Here is a 20,094-nt window from a genome sequence, read left to right on the forward strand (position 1 = left end):
GCCTGTAATCCCACACTTTGGGATGCTGAGGTGGATCACCTGAGGTCAGGAGTTTGAGACCAGCCTGGACAACATGGTAAAACTCCGTCTCTACTAAAAAAAAAAAAAAAAAATACAAAAATTAGCCGGGTGTAGTGGTGCAGGCCTGTAATCCCAGCTACTCAGGAGGCTGAGGCACAAGAATCGCTTGAACCCAGAAGATGGAGGTTGCAGTGGGCCAAGATTGTGCCACAGCACTCCAGCCTGGGCAACAGAGTGAGACTCTGTCAAAAAAAAAAAAAGAGAGAGAGAGAGCTGACTTGAACATACACAGGACTGAAGATATCCAGACTGTGAATCCATTGTACATACGGAACAATGTCAGCGGTTGTTACTGCTCTCAATTTTTGTATATTCAACAGTAAATTATACAGAGCACGTCATTTTCAAATTGCAAACCTGAACACAACCTATAGGATTTTGACTCAATTCCAGGCTACTTAGCTTATGCTCCCATCCAATATTCTATTATTATTGCGCTGGAAATGACATCTCTAATCTATCCACATGAACAGGCCTGTTAAAATGAGGCTTAATCTTTAAATCTCCTTGGTAAGTGTGATTGAATTTGTTAAACTTTTGTTTGTAAGCCATATGGACATCAAAATAAGGAAAATATCCAAACCCGAACTTTGGCAAGATTCAAATGACAGTGTAAAGTGTTTATTATCAAATGCATTACAAATAACATTTCCATATCATTCAGTAGTCACTCGGTGATTTTTCACTGAATGACCAACATTGACATGAGCTCCTGGGGTTTGGCATTTTAGCAAATGTAAAAAAAGAGGTAGCTGGCCTAAGCCGTTTTCTGTCATTCCAAGCATTCCCTTAGACAAGAACAGGATCCTGAACCCAAATGTGAAGGAAGAACCAGTGCCCAGCTAAGAATAACTGTGCATGGTCCACAGTGCTCAGATAAATTTTTAAAAATCACTCATCACAGTTTCAGAATGTGCCATTTGTTATTCTTGCAAAAGGTTTGCTATATTCATTAAACGAACAAATATTCTTGGGAAAACTATATATAGTAGTTTACAGTCTTCACACTGTTTCCTCCCTTCCTAGCAGTCCAGTAGAATATAAACGACTTGAACATGAAAAGCAAACTTTGAAGTAAGATAGCAGGAAATCGGGGCTCCAAGGCCTTTGAATGTTGGAAGAAATTGGATTTCTCCACGTATTTTGTTTTATTTTTTAAAATTTATTTGCATGTTTTCTCCTTTTGAAAGAATAGTTCTGTGGTCATTACAGGATTTAGTTCTCTCAGTCTTCCTGTCTCTTTCTCCTTAATGCTTCTAGAGTTGACATTTTATCATTTTCACTTATTTAATGTTCTTGTAATAGTATTCTTCTAAAAACTATGATCCATTGCATATTCCCTGTTGAAGTCTAAGCTCATTAAGTTCAGAGATTAGGTCTCCTCTTTCTATTTTATCTTCCTATACCTGACTTAATATGAAGTATATTTAATAATGCTGCAGTGTTGTGTGACAATGGTAGCAACCTGTGCAGTCTCAAGGGCACAGACCAGTTAAATGAATTACTTATATTCCTATAATAATTATGACAGAAGAAAATAGGGAACCTTGAATTCTCATTATCCATTAACTCTTAGGGTCCATAAACCTGGAATTCATATGTGATATCAGCAGCATTGGTTCCAGTGGATTTAATGGAACTAATTTTAAATTCCCCGGACAAAGAGTGCCTTTACTTAGAGTAAAGCAAGTAGAGGTTCTTATCATAAAAAACAGGATAAACGTGTTTTTCTCCATTGCAAGTATGCACATATGCACAGTCACACACACAGGCGTGAATAAGAAATGTTTAAGATGTCCATGAATTTCCTGGAGAATCAGTTAATATACAGATTGCTGGGTTCAACACCAGAGATGACCATTCTTTGGTCTGGACTGAACTCAGAAAGGATCTCCTGTTCTGAAGCGAGTGTTCTCTGCTCCACCACACTTAACACTGGCTTACGTGGAATTGAGAGGTTAGTTAGCAGGATGTAGAGCTGGGGCAAAGAAATTTGACAGAAGTTTTTGAATCTTTCTTCTGACATATTAAGGTCAGCCAGTAACAGGCCTCCATATCTAAGGTGGCATTCAAGAACCTGTTGCCCGTCAAATAATGACTTTTATATGTTAACTAAGTTACCCCTTTTTCTTTTCAATTTTGACAGTGAATTATACAATTATACCCAAGATCAACAACTCATTTTAACTTTTGCAGATGTATACTGTGGATTTTTGCATTTTTAAGTTTATGAACTACACAATTATTATCCTTTTTCCATTTATTTTCTAGTTCATAAGGACCTAATGTGTGTTTATTTTTCACAATTGGTAAAATACTTTTTAATTTTTGGGTTACTTTTTTTTGCTAGGATGATATGTTTTGAAGCGCAGTATCTTATTTTATTTTTTTATTTTTAATTTTTGTGGGTAAATAGTGTGTGTGTGTGTGTGTGTGTATGTATGTATATGTATATATATATATATATATATATATTTTGGGGGTACATGAGATGTTTTGATACAGGCATGCAGTGTGAAATAAGCACATCATGGAGAATGGAGTATCCATCCCCTCAAGCATTTATTCTTTGAGTTACAGGCAGTCCAGTTACACTGTAAGTTATTTTAAAATATACAGTTAAGTTACAGTTGACTATAGTCACTCTGTTGTGCTATCAAATAATAGGTTTTATTTATTCTTTCTATAATAATTTTTTTTTTAACCTGTTAGCCAGCCCCACCTCTCCACCACTCACTCGCTGCCCGTCACTCCCCTTCCCAACCTCTGGTAACCACCCTTCTACTGTGTCCATGAGTTCAATTGTATTTATTTTTAGATCCTACAAATGAATGAGAACATATGATGTTTGTCTTTCTGCGCCTGGCTTATTTCACTGAACATAATGATCTTCAGTTCCATCCATATTATTGCAAATGACTGGATCTCATTCTTTTTGTGGCTGAATAGTACTCCATTGTGTAACTATATTTTTTCATAGCACACTTTGATTCAAACATAAGGTATGGTTATTGTAGAAAACTTGTATAATTTAACTTTAATGTGTTAAAGGATTAAAATGACTTTATGCCTAATTGAAGGAAAAGTGCCTGATCTCTAAGGAATCTGGGATAAGGATGTAATGTAAAATTATTAATATTTGGTGTCATGAAACTTTATTCAAATAACTTCTGAAAAAATAAAATAAATTGGAAGTCTTAATTCCTGTGTTAAATAGTTTATAATTATAAAATGAAAAGTAGAATACAGTCTCTGTGAGCATGAGGGAATTTCCTATTTTCTGGGTATAATATTCCCTCCACACATACTTTATGATATTTTGTCAGTACAACTTCGGACTGCTTTTTCCATAATTGAGTTGGTTGTCTCTATTTAGAGTACAAGTAGAAGCCTACAGCAATATAAATCTGAAGATCTGTGTAATATATTATGATTGATGTTAAAAAAAATAGGTTAAGGAAGTACTTACGTAAATTCTTCCATTAAGTAATGATTTAAGCAAAGTAGAGATTTAAGGAAGATAAAAACATACAATAAGAACTGTTTAAAATGTTCTTCTTGACCACTAGTCCAAGGTTTACTGACTTTGTTCCCTTGATCATTAGACCAGCCAGGCTTGTTCTCATTCTCTGGGCAGTGGCTGAAAACCTTTTACTAAGAGAAGTAGCTTCTAAGAATATCTTCAGCCCTTGAGGGTTCCAAGTCCCCCTACAAATAGCAGATTAGCAATCAGTGAAAACCTTCTGTTAGTTCCACGACTTAGCTTCTGTCTGGCGCATAGAACTCCAAAACGTATTCTGAAACTGAAGAAGTTTGGGGGCCAGTTTTAACTAATATAAGTTTTATATATTTTTAAATTACTAGCCACATTCCCAAAATGTATTGGTATTTTTTTTCTTCCAATGGCTGAGATTATTTTTCTGCTTTCTAATTCTAAATTAGGCATTTCTTATTTTTTCCCATGTAGATTCTAGATGCCTTAAACAGTCTACAGTCTTTTCTTCATTCATTCTCCATAGTTGGGGAAGGGTCTTTATCTATGACATTATGTCAAGTTTTATTTAGAAAAATTTTAGCCATGTAAATAGCACAGGCCTTGGATCTTCACAGAATGTGTTTCAAGTATAGGAGGTGCGTTGTATTGACAAAATGATCTTGTAAGTTTCTTAAACTCTCTGGGAAAAAAATTTAGTTTTTCATTTGTAAAATAAGTATAATAATACCTGTTTTGAAACTACGATATACATAAAAAGCCTAGCATAAGTCTAGCAAAGAGTGCGCTTGTAATATATGAGGGTTCACCTCTGCTCTTCATCCTCATCACTGTCATAGTGCTCACTTTCTTACCTATAAGGACCCTGACAGTCCTATAGAGCCACTTAGATAAGAGCATAAATAACTGGAATGCTGATCGGTACCATGAATTAAAATGCAGATAAAATCATGGAAGAGAATGAAATTATTTCTTGACAAGAAGACTATAAATGGCTTTGTGAAAAGACAGAATGTAAACTGTCTTGAAGGTTAGGAAGGATTCGAAACATGGAAATAGGATTGAAGGCATGGAGATGGGAAATTACTAGTGATACAGTGATACAGAGGATACTTTGTTTCCATGATGAAACAAAGCTTGAACCAAAGTGAAGTGTATCCATTATTAAGGTCCTTGAATATGTTTCAAAAGTAGAAAATTAAGTCTATTCTCTGAAAATCAATGGGAGTGCTTGTTTATTTTCATTTAAATAATTGAATTGACTGTGGAGTTTGAAGTTATGGAGACACAAATTTAAATCCCTGTTGAACAACGACTAACAGGTTTACACTGTGGGGTTTGTTGTGTTTAATTGATGGCTGACAGCAGGCATGCGGTTTAGAGAGCAAAATATGCTCAAGTGGTTCCGTATATCCTTTAGTGTGTGTGTTTGTATAACACTATTTTTAAATAAACAGTGTGCTCCTGAGAGTCTATCACTGAGTTAGGTTTTTATATGGTCTATGTATGAGAATTTTTATATGTGGCCACTACAATAGTGGCCCTCCCTTCAAAGCCCATGCAACAAACATTCAGCAGTGGTTGTGGGGAGTGGTAGGTTCAAGAGTAGACTTTTCTTGTCCTATGCTATTCTACTTTTCAGATTTCTCGCCAAAGTGAATATGAACTGTGTTATCACAAAAATGGGTAGGTGCTTCATCTGATTATGAAAATGAACATTAAGTTGATATCTCTCAGAAGGCCGTGCTGTGTATACCACATCTCAGTATGTGAAATCAGTTGTCTTTCTAAAATTTTCTCATGATAATATCCTGTTCCAATTTCAAAGGCAAATGTCTATTGAAATTGCTAAATTTCATGTGTTATACTTGTAAAATGTTATATTTCTTTCAAATATCTTGCATAAAGTTTTCCCCCACAGTATTATACACAAATATATAGGACAAGGATCCTACTATGTATATTCTAACCAACAACCGTGCTGGGCACATGATTGATGATAATTGCCCAGTACATGTAATGAATTGAATTTTCTCAGTAACAATTTAGTACACAATTGACTTAGTATATGGATCACTAGGGATGGATGAATACAAACAAATTCTGCACTCAATTTTTTCAGATCACTGAAAATCCCAGAGCCTCTAGAGCTCTGTTGAAGTCTACTTTATAAAAAGACATGAATATTTACTTACTATACATTTATACAGCGTTTATTAAGTAGCTATTGATTGTTCATAGTTGCCTTCTCAGCAACCTTAAATCCTCATAGAAAATGCATAATTCTTAAAGGCAGCTAACATCTCCATTTTTTCAAGTTATTAAGAATGGAGTGAATACACAGTAGCATGGGGTACCCTTGGCATGATGCCACGGGTGAATGCAGAATGCATCACGGGATGACTAATCCCATTTCTTTATCCTAAGGTTCACTAACTGTGGTTAATATTGAGCCAAGTTTATTTGTGCAGTTTTTGAAGAGGCCAAGACATTAAGATTCCTTAGAATAAACATCATCTGGGCATCACCTGCACACCTAAATGGATTTATTGCCAATGAGTAATGCTGTGCCTTCGCTGCACAGTCTACACAGAAAATGTCAGAACTCAATAAAAACAGTGCAACAGTCTTCTGATTGAGTTTGTATTAAGGTCTCTTTATTGGATTAATCCGGTTCTTTTCTCTTCCTTTCCTCATCTGAATGAAACATATTTTAAGGGCCATTCATTTTAGATGAAGTTGAGGAAAGTATTTTAAAAAAGGAAAAAAATAATGGATTTGCAGTTAGGCTCACTCCTTTAATCCCAGCACTTTGGGAGGCCAAGGTAGGTGGATCACTTGAGCCCAGGAATTTGAGACCAGCCTGAACAACACAGCGAAACAGTATCTCTACCAAAAAAAAAAAAAAAAAAAATTAACCAAGTGTTGTGGTGTGTGCCTGTCCTGTAGTCCCAGTTACTCTGTAGGCTGAGTGGGGAGGATCACTTCAGCCCAGGAGGTCCAGGCTGCAGTGACCCATGATCACACCACTGCACTGTAGCCTGGGCAACAGAGTGAGACCCTGTGTCCAGCAAACAAACAAAATATATTGCCTTCCTTGTTAGAATTTTGCTTAATACCTTGGCCGGGAGCGGTGGCTCATGCCTGTAATCCCAGCACTTTGAGAGGCCAAGGCGGGCGGATCATGAGGTCAGGAGATCGAGAACATCCTGGCTAACACTGTGAAACCGCGTCTGTACTAAAAATACAAAAAATTATGAGCCGAGATCATGACACTGCACTCCAGCCTGGGCGACAGAGCGAGACTCCGCCTCCAAAAAAAAAAAAAAAAGAATTTTGCTCAATATCCAGCATAACCCTGTTAATTTTGTGGGAACATAATAAAAGCTACTTTGATAACAAAGCAGAAAAATCAGCTGTTTGTCTTCTTGCGCATGTCAAACCTTAAATTTGGCTGTGTTTTCTGCTCTCTTCCCCAGTAACTTCATTTTTAAGCCTCTTTCTTATGTATTTGAACAACAATCAAGAAAAATAACATTGTTGTGAAATACCTTAACCTCACATGTGACGTCTCTTTAAAATAAGTAATATAATGAAAGCAAGCAAGCACCGGTAATCTTTAGAAAGGCTAAATAACTTGAGTGGTAATGACTAATGATCTTTTTTGTCTTCACAAAATATTTCTTGCCATTTAAACAAACATCTGCATGTGGAGTAAAGCATATTGATAGATAGCCAACATTTCACATTCAGTGAAGAACTCTTTCCTTTATCCTAAGTGATAATAGTAAATTTAAAGACTAATTAATTTCTTTCACTGGAATAATAAGTTCTGGGAAAATATCAGATATTTTAAACATTGGAAGTGAAGAGAAAGTTGCATCTATGAAAAAATAATTTTTAGTAAGATTGATACACATTTATATCAATAATTGCATACTATATCCCTATCGATATATATATATATATATATATTTGTTGCAGTTCTTATATTCTAATACTGTTTTCTTTTCCATTTTCCCCAGGAAACAAAAATGAACATGATCCTAAATTACACTTTATATTTCACATCCGCTAATAGGGCTGGTATTGGGAAACAGTGCCAAATATACAAGAGCCGAGCAGTTTTCTATTTGAGTATTTGTTTGCAAAACAAGCCCAGGCTAATGGAGGATCATTTGTAGGAAGCTAAGTCATGCTGGGTGCTCATTGATAACTTAGAAAGACTCTCTAGTTTGCATTCCCCCAACCCCCAGTTGGAGATAGTCATATGTGTTTCAATTAAAATATCCATTTACTTCCAGCTGGCAACGTTAGTATCCATTCTACCGACAGAGAGCAAAGGTCACAGGCTCCTGCCTGAGCAGACATTTTAAAAAATATGCCATTTGCCTTCCTTGTGAAGATACCTTTGAGCCACCCATTGCAGGCTTGGGGAGAAGATTTTGAAGGGTCAAATTGCATGGGGACTTTCACCTTATTTACTGATATAGCTTTAGTAGCTGTTGGTCCAGATGCTGCAACTGCTGTTGCTTTGTGGATTGGGATTCAGCAGCAGCTGTTGTTCTTTGCTACAGCGTGTTTCTGAAATTCAAAATTTAATAGTCTGAGACCCTAGTCATTGAAAACTATGCTGAAAGTTAATTTGCTGAATCCAAGTTTATTTTCCTGCTAAGCCATAGTTTGTGATGGAGCCTTTCCCTTGTGATGCATAATAAAATGAAGAAAGGCCTTATTTAGTGCCGTTACCAGACTCAAGCAGGAGAGAATGCAGTAGTTACAGAGCCGGGCGTGGGCTTTGCTGCCTTGTAATTCGGCCTTACTCACATTTTTAGAATTTCAAATCTAGATCCCTTTATGCAAGATATTTGAAACAAATATAACATTTTAAACGTATAACATATGAAATTTAGCAATTTCAATACACATTTGCCTTTGAAATTGAAACAGGATACTATCATGAGAAAAGTTTAGAAAGACAACTAGATCTTAACTTCATTGCATATAGCAACCTGATGAAACTCCAGTTTCTCTATCTCAAAAGATTAAAAATTAAATTCTACCATGGAGAGTTATTGTGAATTAAATGAGATAATATACATAAAGCACTTATTATCATCTTTGACACACAATTTGCTTTTACTATTTTTACCCCACTCATATTACTTTTATAAGGGTTTTCTGATAAAGAAAAAGCTCCTTTGTTTCCTTGGTTCATTTCTCAGAAGAAAATTAATTTTCTTGCCCAATAAATATGAAAATTCCTAATATTCAAATTCTTGTAGATAATATTTGTTAAGTAATACTATGTGCCAGGCCCTATTTTAGGTGCTTTACGTGTGTTATCCCCTTCAGCCATCACAAAAATCCCATGAGGTGGGTGACATCATTACCTTTTCTGTTTCATACTTGAGGAAGTTCTTACTTAGAAACATTAGGAATTTGCCTGAGGTCACATATTACAGACAGAAGTAGGAATTAATCCAGTCTATACCTGTTACCAAACCCTACTTTCTCCATAAGGAAAACAAATCTAATTACCTTGGAATGAAGTATTTGAGCTTTGTTTCTGAAATTAAATATTCTTTCAGCAATGGGATTCTCAGGCAACTCTACCATTATGGCTTTTTCCATTTCCTGGAGTCTCTAGTGGGTAGACGAATTTATACTAATAAGTGATAAATGTTATTTTGTGAATAAGTCTTTGTTTTGGCATTCTCACTTCGACAATATTGGATATGATCCACTTAATTATGAAAAAAAATGAAAATCTTAAGCTTGACCTGTTCACATCAAGATAGACCTAGTTATAGATGCCACAAGTAAATCATGGTGGGAGGGATGGGGAGTGGGAAAACAGTATTTGGGAGATATAGCCACCAACAGCGATCCAACCAAGCAACCCATATCCTTGCAAAGTTAACAGTAGTATCTACCAATATCCAGAGTTCCAGCACTGGAGATGCAGACAAAAATGATATGCAAATATGCACACAGATACAAATGACCCTTGGGGAGGGGGTGGGAAAAACAAACAAACAAAACAGCCCTGGGCGCAGAGGCAGGATCCCAGTTTAACAGGAAATCAGAGCTCACATCTGTAGCTTGATGTATGTAACATATATGAAGATGAGATCTCAGACACAATAAACGAGACAGGACCAACTGGAACTGGCACTTAAGGTTGCAACTAAAGAGTAGCAAGTATAGCATTTGAAAGTAGAAATTCTTGAGTCATTCCTTGGTAATGTCAAGAAAAACGTCTGGAGCCTGGGCAGTACCTGAAGATGGGAGTCTGAGAATGAAAGAAAAAAAAAAAAAAGACTAATCCTGCCAGCAGAAAATTCATGGTTTGTCTATTCTTAGGAAATTATAAAAACTCTGTAGCATGGATAGACTTGCAAGTTGCCAGAGTTATATTCTAATGTATAATTTTTTTTATTTCAATAGGTTTTTGGGGAACAGGTAGTGTTTGGTTACATGAATAAGTTCTTCAGTGGTGATTTCTGAGATTTTCGTGCACCCTTCACCGAAGCACTATACCCTGTACCCAATGAGTAGTCTTTTTTAATATAAAACTTTGAGATATATTTCTTTATATTTCATACTTTAGCTCACATTTTTCACACAAAATTTTATTAGATATTTTATACTTTAACTCATAAAGGAAATGGTATAATACATGATAACGTTTCCATTAAGACTAAGGATGAAATAGTTAAAACTTGTAAAGATTCTGTAAAACCTTAAAAAAGAGTAACCTTTATTTCATTAATATTTAACTTTTTTTCCTAATCCTAGTAAATATCATGTAAACTTTCTGTGTACTCAAACCTTGCTTTAAATGTCAGCAGATATTGTATTTATATATACATGAAGGAGTCATATATATAGGTAACTGGTAATGGTATTTGATTTGGGGAATGAAAATAGTCTTTGGGAGCAGCAATAAGAGAAAAGTCCTTTTGTACCTTTTGAATATTTGATAATATATATGAATTGAATTACCTATTAAAATATTTTAAAGAAGAACAATGCAGCAATGCTAAAGAAAACTGAAAATCTTCAAATTCAGTTATTTACAAGACGCTAGAAGCAGGTTGTGAAAGTCTTTTGCTTTTCTACACCCCACTTTCAATTTAAAAGTGACCATGTTCACGTCAAAACCAATGTTAAAGCACTTCTAATTTCAGTGAAATAATTTTTTTTCCCTTCTTCTGAAGAACACTTTTTACCTTCTATGAAGTGAATGACTGTGACATTTGGATGTTGCAGAGTTTCTTGTTAAGTATATTTTGTACATGAATTACTTCCAGGAAAAGGTCAGTTCAATGTTTAAAGATTTTTCATACAAAATAACTAAAACAGACCTCTTAGGAATTGCCCACTCCTCACCCCTGTTATTAATACCCTAAGTCTATTTGTTAATTCTCTGCTGTTGTTTTAAATATTTACAAATTTCCCTATCCTTTTCTGTGCCGTTTCAAAATATAAACTTAGTTTTTCTTAACCTGAAACCTTAGATAGTAAAAAAGAAAACAAAAAACATTCCCTCAGAATGTAGCATTTTTGTCAATTTCCCTTTTTCAACATTGTCAAAATGTTGGATTTCATTGTAATTTGCCTGCAAGTCTCTGTCTTTATATTCAGTTTTATTTTTTTCTCCCACTTGCCCCCAACTTCACAGACTGTGAACCTGACTTCAGTGCCTTTAACTTCCATGGACCTGTGTCTCCATTTCTGCCCTCCCTTTATCTGTTGAAAGGGGGGAGAAGCAGCACTCAGTGTAACATTCTGTAATTTTCGACTTCAATTATGTACCTGCTCCACCTCAGCAGGTGTTGGCCCCACTGCAATTGGGGAAATGAAAAGCGTGCAAGGAAAACATAGAAAGAAATGTGTGGGGTCTGGTTCATTGCTTATATGGCAACATTTTAACAATAAACTTGTTTCTTGGATAAAGGAATATATATTCTTTGGATTAACAAATTTAAACTTCTCACTCAACTCTTTGCCTTTTCCAATAATTGAGAGTATCTTGATCGTTTCTTCATTAGGAAGTGTCTGCTTTCTTGATTCTCAAGGACGTCATTCCTCAATTGGGCTTTGAAAAAGTGTGTTGATATTTCTTTTTATCTAAGGACCCTCAGCATCTTTACAAATATAGACTCCTTAAAAACACATCTGGTCAGCTGGGCACGGTGGCTCACACCTTTAATCCCAGCACTTTGGGAGGCTAAAGCAGGTGGATCACGAGGTCAAGAGTTCAAGACAAGCCTGACCAACATAGTGAAACCCCATCTCTACTAAAAATACAAAAATTAGCTGGGCTTAGTGGCACGTGCCTGTAATCCCAGCTACTTGGGAGGCTGGGGCAGGAGAATCACTTGAACCCGGGAGGCGGAGGTTGCAGTGAGCTGAGATCGCACCACTGCATTCCAGCCTGGGTGACAGGGTGAGACTCTGTCTCAAAACAAACAAACAAAAAAAAAAAAGAAAAAAAAAACACATCTGGTCACTATAGTTGCTTCAGTGAATTCAGAGAGAAATGAACAACAAAAAAATATAGTGAGTGAATTACCTTTTGATGATACGTGGCCTTATGGCTGAACTAAGACCATAAACTGATAGTAAGCAACTCCTACCTGAACATAAGGCACTGCCATCTGCATTTAAGAGATTGGAGAAATGAAGAGGCAGAGATATGCTGTAAAATTTTTATGTTTCCTTGTAATAATCATGCTGCAAGCCACTGATAACTGCAAGAGCAGTTACTACCTAAATGTTATTCAGTAGCTTATGAAGATATTTTGATAGGTACTATTCTTTCAAAGTTAAGTCCTTAAACATGTGCTAATGAAACACACTGAATATTGTTAGTGTTTTTATATAAAAAGCATTTTTAATGACAACGTCAAATAAATTTCACTCTATTAAATATGATAGTGCTCCACTGATAACACTTTTAGAAAGTAATTAGTAATTCAGCATGTTCAGGGAATCCCTCCTTCTCTTCAGAGATGCATGTGTAAGGTGAATGCAACAAAATGAAAAATCTAGTTGTCAAGTTGGAGAAAGTTTTTTTTTTTTTGCTTGTTTTTTTTTATGACTTTTTTTTCTTTTTGTTATTATACTTTAATTTCAGGGATACATGTGCAGAACATGCAGGTTTGTTACATAGGTAAGCATGTGCCATGGTGGTTTGCTGCAACCATCAACCCGTCATCTACATTAGGTATTTCTCCTAAAGCTATCCCTCCCCTTGCCCCCTCCCCTTGACAGGCCCTGGTGTGTGATGTTCCCCTCCCTGTACCCATATGTTCTCATTGTTCAACTCCCAGTTAGGAGTGAGAACATGTACTGTTTGGTTTTCTGTTCCTGTGTTAGTTTGCTGAGAATGATGGTTTCAGGCTTCATCCATGTCCCTGAAAAGAGCATGAACTCATTCTTTTTTACGGCTGCATAGTATTCCATGGTGTATACGTGCCACATTTTCTTTATCCAGTCTATCATTGATGGGCATTTGGGTTGGTTCCAAGTCTTTGTTATTGTGAACAGTGCTGTAATAACCATACGTGTGCATGTGTCTTTATAGTAGAATGATTTATAATCCTTTGAGTATATACCCAGTAATGGGATCACTGGGTCAAACGATATTTCTAGTTCTAGATCCTTGAGGAATTGCCACGCTGTCTTCCACAATGGTTGAACTAATTTACACTTCCATCAACAGTCGTATTAACAATTACAATAATAATACAATATGTGCTGTAATAGACACACAGGCCATATTCTGGAAACAATGAAGATGGAGTGACTACCTTGTTTGTTTGAGTCAAAGGAGTTCTTAGCAGAGCTGATGGACTCTATTGAATTTTAGCATGAGAATAGCAATTTACTAGGAGTTAAAGATTATTTGAAGTAGCGCATAAGGGATAAAATATGTAAAAATTTTTAAATACATTTGGCCCCTACAACATTTTGTTAGACATAAAATAATCTTGTTAGCCTATTGTTCTATTGAAACTTTTTTTTTTGTATTTTTCTTTTTTTAGTAGAGACAGGGTGTCACCATCTTAGCCAGGATGGTCTCGATCTCCTGACCTCATGATCTGCCCGCCTCGGCCTCCCAAAGCACTGGGATTACAGGTGTGAGCCTCTGCACCCGGCCTATTGAAACACTGTTTAGGAGATATTTTATATTCAAAACATTTTGAATACACTATACTTCTTTTAGATTAGAAATTTATATTTCAGTACATTGCTTCTGAGATAAACTTGAAATACCAGTTAAATTTTACCCTATTTATTGTTAGAATAAAACTGTCATCTTAGATTGGTCAACAGATATTTGCTTTATAAGCACAGAAATTAGGCTTTTTAGACCTAGTTATTCTATAGAAATTAGTGGTTCAGCTGGTTTGGTGGCTCACCATGGTCATACATAGACTCATTGTTCCTTTGGCAGTCCATAACATGCCAAGCTCATAGTTTTACCCCACCATGACCCAAGAATAGCAACTTGATGTTCTAAGAGAAACCAATAATACAGATTCCTTGATAGTGCTATTTATAGGTGGTATGGTTTAGTTCATCAGCATAAGGACAATGGAAACTTTCTATAAGTGAATGGCATTTAACTGAGAAGATGCATCCATTTGAGTGTGTCTTTCAAGATGCATCTTCTAAACTTTGAAGGGATTCAGATACTCCCTCCAAAGATGTACTAGTTACCTCCACTTACCAAGTAATAGGCTGCCTACATTTTTTATTCCACTTTTAGAAGTATTCATTGTGGCTTTTTGTAACTATGAGATTAATATTAAATCTTATTAACTAGGGAAAGATAACGAGTATATCTCTCTTTTTAATTGTTATGTTCAGGCATGCTCTCGGTCCCACAAAACTTTTGATTTTGATGAGCAGAGTACATGCCCAACATGATTTTGATTCCTTAATACTGATTATATTGAACTGGTGAGCAAATATCTCCCTTGGAGATGTCAAGCTCAAGAGCAATAGATGCTGAGGTAGAAGGGAAGAGAAAGACAGAATTTATGCGACTGTTCTATACACATACCATGAGGAACAAAGAGGGGAGAAAGTTAAAGGAAACAGTCACTGGGGCAGAAACCACAAAAATAAGGCAGTGAATAAAAGAGAAGATATCCAGAGTTGAGAGCTGAGCTGTACTGCCATGAAAATCTAGCTCGGTGTGAGACCTCTGCACATCCTTACAACAAATATCTACAACTTAAAGTAACCTGAGGCTGTCTCTGTCTGGCATACTAAAAGAAGATGACCCATCCAGTTTAATCATATACTACGATTTTAAGACATTGATTTCATCAGTATTTCTAAAACTAATGATTCTCTTCATTAACTGATTATTACCACCTTTAGACTAGAATCTGCTTGCTCCTGTGTTTCTTTGCCTTTTCATGTTTTAGTTTTATCTATGCATCCCAGCCTACTTATTGGAGGTAGATAGAGGATTGGAGAGTTGCAAAGATAGGGAAAGGAACTTGTATCAAGTCCAGGCATAACTGCCACTACCTCCAGTCCTGATGTGCATCTACAAAGAACGCTTTAGCATATGGGTAGAGCCTAACACAAGACTTTTTTCAAAGATCTTAAGGCTAGTTTTGTTTGAAATATTTTGATACCTTCATTTACATAGAATGGATTTTGAACCTACCATAATTGTAGACCTGAACATGATATAATAGTCTTTATTCCTGAAGATAAATAAGATTATAATTAACTGTGGGATCATTAATGGACTAGAACACTAGTCAACAATAAAAAAGAGGGTTAACACAATGTAACAGCACTTGTCTGATTCGTAAGTCATTTGGCTCTTGCACTTAATCACATGACCCTAAGAAGTCATTTAACTTATTTGAGCCTTAGTTTACACACTTGTCACTTGGGGATAATGTTAATACATATAAAGGAATTCATCTATGTGGCATTAAAGAGAATTTCAATCAACTTCCTCATTCTTGATCTGATCACTGATAAGATTGAACTTGAGAAAACATAGAAATCCTCATTTTTAAAACCTCACTGCTCAAAGTAAAGTAAGCAAGAGTAGGCAACCACCAGGAGCGAATGAACATCTCATTCTCTATGGTTGTAGGTCACTGTCCTAGGATCTAGCAATTTGTTTCCCTAAGAAAACTAAGTTATCTTCATAACTTAGTTATCTTAATAACTAATATTAATAGCATATTAATAACTCATTAACATCAAGAAGAAAAGAGAAAAATCTCTTTTATTTGTTAAATGTTATTTGTATACTTTTTGTACATGACAATATGCCTTATGAATAATTTCAAAAAATATAGGTGATAAAGTTACCAATTATAATAAAAATATCCTATTCAGAATTTGTGTGAAAATAAATTAAGATATCTTGTGTAAGTGCGTGTGTTTGAATTACCTTCAAAATATAAAGTATCTTTATACCTGTTGGACACAATAAGGACTACCCATGATATTAATTGAATCGGTCATTACTCATTGTTAATCTCTTGACTATCTTAAGATTTATTTTTGTAAATATACCACATTATTTAATGTCACTGAATATTTTGATGGTGCTGTTCCAATATCAAATAACTGCCAGAGTTTTAGAGAAAGCTTGCCTTTCATGCATATTTAAGTTTCCATTGTACTTCAGCTCATCCTAAAGAAAGATATTGCCATTAACCATATATCCTTGCAATAGCAGTTATGTCTGAAAGAAGTAATGTGCAGTAGAATATGCAGCATAAATGTCTATACTTCTGTATTAATTATTGACCCAAGGTTAAATGTATGCACATGAATGCTGATGTTCTTGGTTGTAATGGGTTGAATTTAATTACTTATTTATTCCTTTGTTGTTATCAGTACCCACTAGTGAATACCTACCTTAAGTAAATCTACTGCTTGTTCATCAATACATGGGAAAACACCAGCATTATGGCACAGATGTTTATGTATTATGCAGAGTTATTTTATCGACTTACAAAAGGCAATGCTAATGGCCATGCCATTCGATGTTCTATAAATAGTCATTTTTGAATGTGAAAATGTGAAGATGAGAGACAAAGAGAGCATATACTAGGCATCAAGCACTGTATTAGAAAAGTGAATGTTTTCTGTTCTGCTCTGTGGAGTAGGTAAAGCAGAAACAGTTGAGTGAGTAGATATCACAGGAAGTAAGATTTCTACATATAACAAAGAACTTTTTCACACAGTTAGAGCTGCCTTTGGGAATTCTGAATTTGCCAACATTGGACGCATTTACAAAGAAGCTACATTTGTTTTTCAGGTATGTTTTAAAGCAGTAGTTTTCAGATTATTTGCAAAATGAAACAATTCTTTCAAATGGAATATTACACAAAAATCCAATCTCTAATACTGAGAGAAACAATAGAACATAAATATAAATTTGTCTTATAATTAATATTAACAATAATTTACTTACTCGTAATTCAATTATTGGTTTGACGAGAGTCCTGATGTTGGTCTCCAGTATGTTAAAATCTGGGATTTAACATTTTTCAGTGTGTGTAGTGTTTGTCTTATTACATATATATATATTTTTTAATTGTGAAATTCTAATCAAGCATTTGAGTCACCTATGAAGTCCTGGAATATTGTTCTAATATCAGCGTTGCAGAAAGAAGTCCTGCCCTGTATTGAGTGGAAGAGGTAACAGGGAGATCTAGATTTGGCTCATCACTGCCAACTTTCTCTAACATTCTCGTCCCAAGCCTAGCTCTCAATGCGCAAACAGGCATACATGTACACGTGTGCACATACATACATGCACACTACTTAAGGCTGCCCTAGTTTGAAAGCTCTGATTCTGCTGATTAACTATTCATACATGAGAATTAAATTTAGAATGTTTTCATTTAGGGTAAATTTGCATGGAGGGAAATCTTGTTTTAATTATCTCAGCTGAAATTGGTTCACTTAAGATTGTAATATACCAGAAAATCATTATCAGGAATTTGTTTTATATAATTTTATGCCTCTTACAAATTTATAACTTCAGAAATCCATTTACTTTACAATGACTGTTTCAAGATGTGATATTGTAGTTGTAACAGAATCTGCATGAAGGAACTAAGACCACAGGGAAGGATTTAACTATTTTGATTTAATGATGTGACTAAAATTCATTTTTTAAAGTCTTAATAAAGAGATGCAGACTCTAATTGCTGATTAACACATTGTTTTTCTCTAAGCCCTTCACATGGAATATAATTTGAAGGTCGTGATAACCTCTCATCCACAGTTTTTCACTGCCTTTGCTTATATAGGTATTTTCTTCATGTTTTAGATGGGAAAGGGAACAGAGGTTTTGGATGACTAGATAATTTTCTGGTGAACGAGCACAATGGTCCATTTTATTCACAAATTAAACTTCAGAATATTATTGATTTGCTGGTCTCACATTTGATACTACTTTTCAAAAAATGATTTCATATTTTAAAAGACATGATCTAGTTTTACCATTATAACTCTGCAAAGTGGCATTATTTTTGTCATTTTAGAATTGAGATAATTGAATCTTCAAACTATAGCTGGGCCAAGAAGCTCAATCTGAGCTTACATCTAAGCCTCCTTTCACTGGCTCACTGTTGTCCCAGACTTACACCATTTGTTCATCATAAATGTGTACCAGATTCAATTCAAGGAAACTGAGGAAGCACAGTACCTGTAGACTTTCAGGAAGCCCTTTGAGCAGTCTTCTGTGTGCTACTAAAGGATATAGGTTGGGAGTTTATGACTGTTATGCATTTGTGGTGCTTTTTATTTTTAACTTGTGGGAGAGTTAATTCATGATTCAGAACCATCATATATGTACCCTTTCACATCAGAAATGTAGGGGACGCTTGGGGATAAAATGAAACAAATGAGAACTTGGAATGATATATACCAGTGGTCCTTAAACTGTGGTTCCCAGATCAGCAGCATCCACATCACAGGTAGCTTGTTAGAAGTACCTGTTCTTGGGCCCCATCCCAGATCTGCTAAACAGATACTCCTAAGGGTATGACCCCGCAATCTGTGATGTGACAAGTCTAATGATTTTGATGCAGGTGACAGTTTGACAAACATTGCTATAGAATTCTTAAGCTTCAAGGAGTATTTAGAAACTTATATTATTCCATAGAAAAATAAAAACTATAGAAGGATATAAATTCTCAGAGATAGTATACCTAATTGGTTTGTGAAGATTAGTTGAATAAGCAGTCTTTTGTATTTTTTCTCACAGAACGAACCTTTAGATCTCAATATACTCTTTGTTAAGCCAGAACTTTATATTTTCAGAACAGTTTTGCTCTGTGCTTGAACTATGATCACAAAAAAGTTTCTTTTTGCTTTTTCTTTCATGTTAAATTCCTTGTATCTCATGACTATAGAAGAAGAACTAAATTGGCATAGAACTTCATAAAAGAGAGCCCACAACATTAGAAAGATAGCAGGTCAGTTAAGATGAAATTGTCCTGGGCACATCAGGTCAGAATCAGATATCAACTGAAGTGGTGAAGGAGGCAGGGGAAAAGGTTAGAGTATTTCAAGTCATAATAGCAAGAATGTTCTGTAAAAAGTCAATAGATATCTATTGAGTGCATATTGTATGCCATACAATTTTCTAGGCACTTGAGATATTTATCAGTGGGAAAAAAAGACAAAGATCCCTGCTTGGATAGGTTATATTATATTCAGGGATACAGATGGTATGTGATGAACACTATAAATAGGTAAATTATAATATACATTAGAAATTGATAGCATTATGGAATAAATATTTAAAAAAAACAGAAAGGGAATGTGGTGCCAAGATCGTAAATAGCAATGTTATGGATAATGTGTAAAGTCACATGAGACAGGCCCTCTTTCAATAGAATAGATTTATTTAGCAACTTTTAGCAATGGTTGTATTTGTAGACTGTATGGTGGCTCTGTCTACATCCAGTACTCCCCAAACCTGATGGATTTTAATATCTGGGAAACTACAAAAAAAAAAGTTTAAATTTTATTTTAATGGAAATGGGGCTTTTATATAGAAGAGATTTTCAAAACCAACCAATCAAACAGTAACAACAAAAACAAAACTTGAACACACACCTAGGAAAGCACGTAAGTCGATAAAATGAGAAAAAAGGGTTAGGTACTGGGTAAGATTGAGCAATCGAGACCTAGTTCATTAATAAATTTTAGAGCCAGATGCCTCTTTTATGTAGCTTCTGGATCCTGCTGCCAAAGGTGGCTGTGTTTTAACAGGAAGCTTCTTCCCCCAACACACCCACATATACCAATTAATACTGATAAGTAATTTTGACAAAGGACTTCACGTTTTGCCTTTTTTTCTTCCCTTTCTCTGCTCATCCATTTCTACAGCAAACTGTGGAAATTAAACTTAATCTACTGATGTGTGATCCATTGTCTTTAGGAGATCGTAAATGTCCTCTAACAGGATTGAGTTGAGAGACATGAGGTGTCTTTCTAAG

At 35.3% G+C, this 20,094-nt stretch overlaps 1 protein-coding gene across 3 annotated transcripts in view, besides 1 other annotated feature; it reads left to right on the forward strand.

Annotated features, from left to right (window-relative positions):
- The window catches only part of GPC6 (glypican 6), a 1,191,492-nt gene that overhangs the window by 337,349 nt on the left and 834,049 nt on the right, over window positions 1–20,094 (forward strand). The gene's annotated exons all lie outside the window — the stretch shown is intronic.
- Window positions 7,567–8,171: an enhancer, noted in NCBI's record as "OCT4-NANOG hESC enhancer chr13:94213697-94214301 (GRCh37/hg19 assembly coordinates)". NCBI's record gives its function as "activates a minimal SCP1, AML or CMV promoter by ChIP-STARR-seq in primed H9 embryonic stem cells {active_cell/tissue: H9 hESC(primed)}" and the evidence as "EXISTENCE:reporter gene assay evidence [ECO:0000049][PMID:30033119]".

This window comes from Homo sapiens, chromosome 13, assembly GCF_000001405.40.
Source record: "Homo sapiens chromosome 13, GRCh38.p14 Primary Assembly".
NCBI lineage: Eukaryota > Metazoa > Chordata > Mammalia > Primates > Hominidae > Homo > Homo sapiens.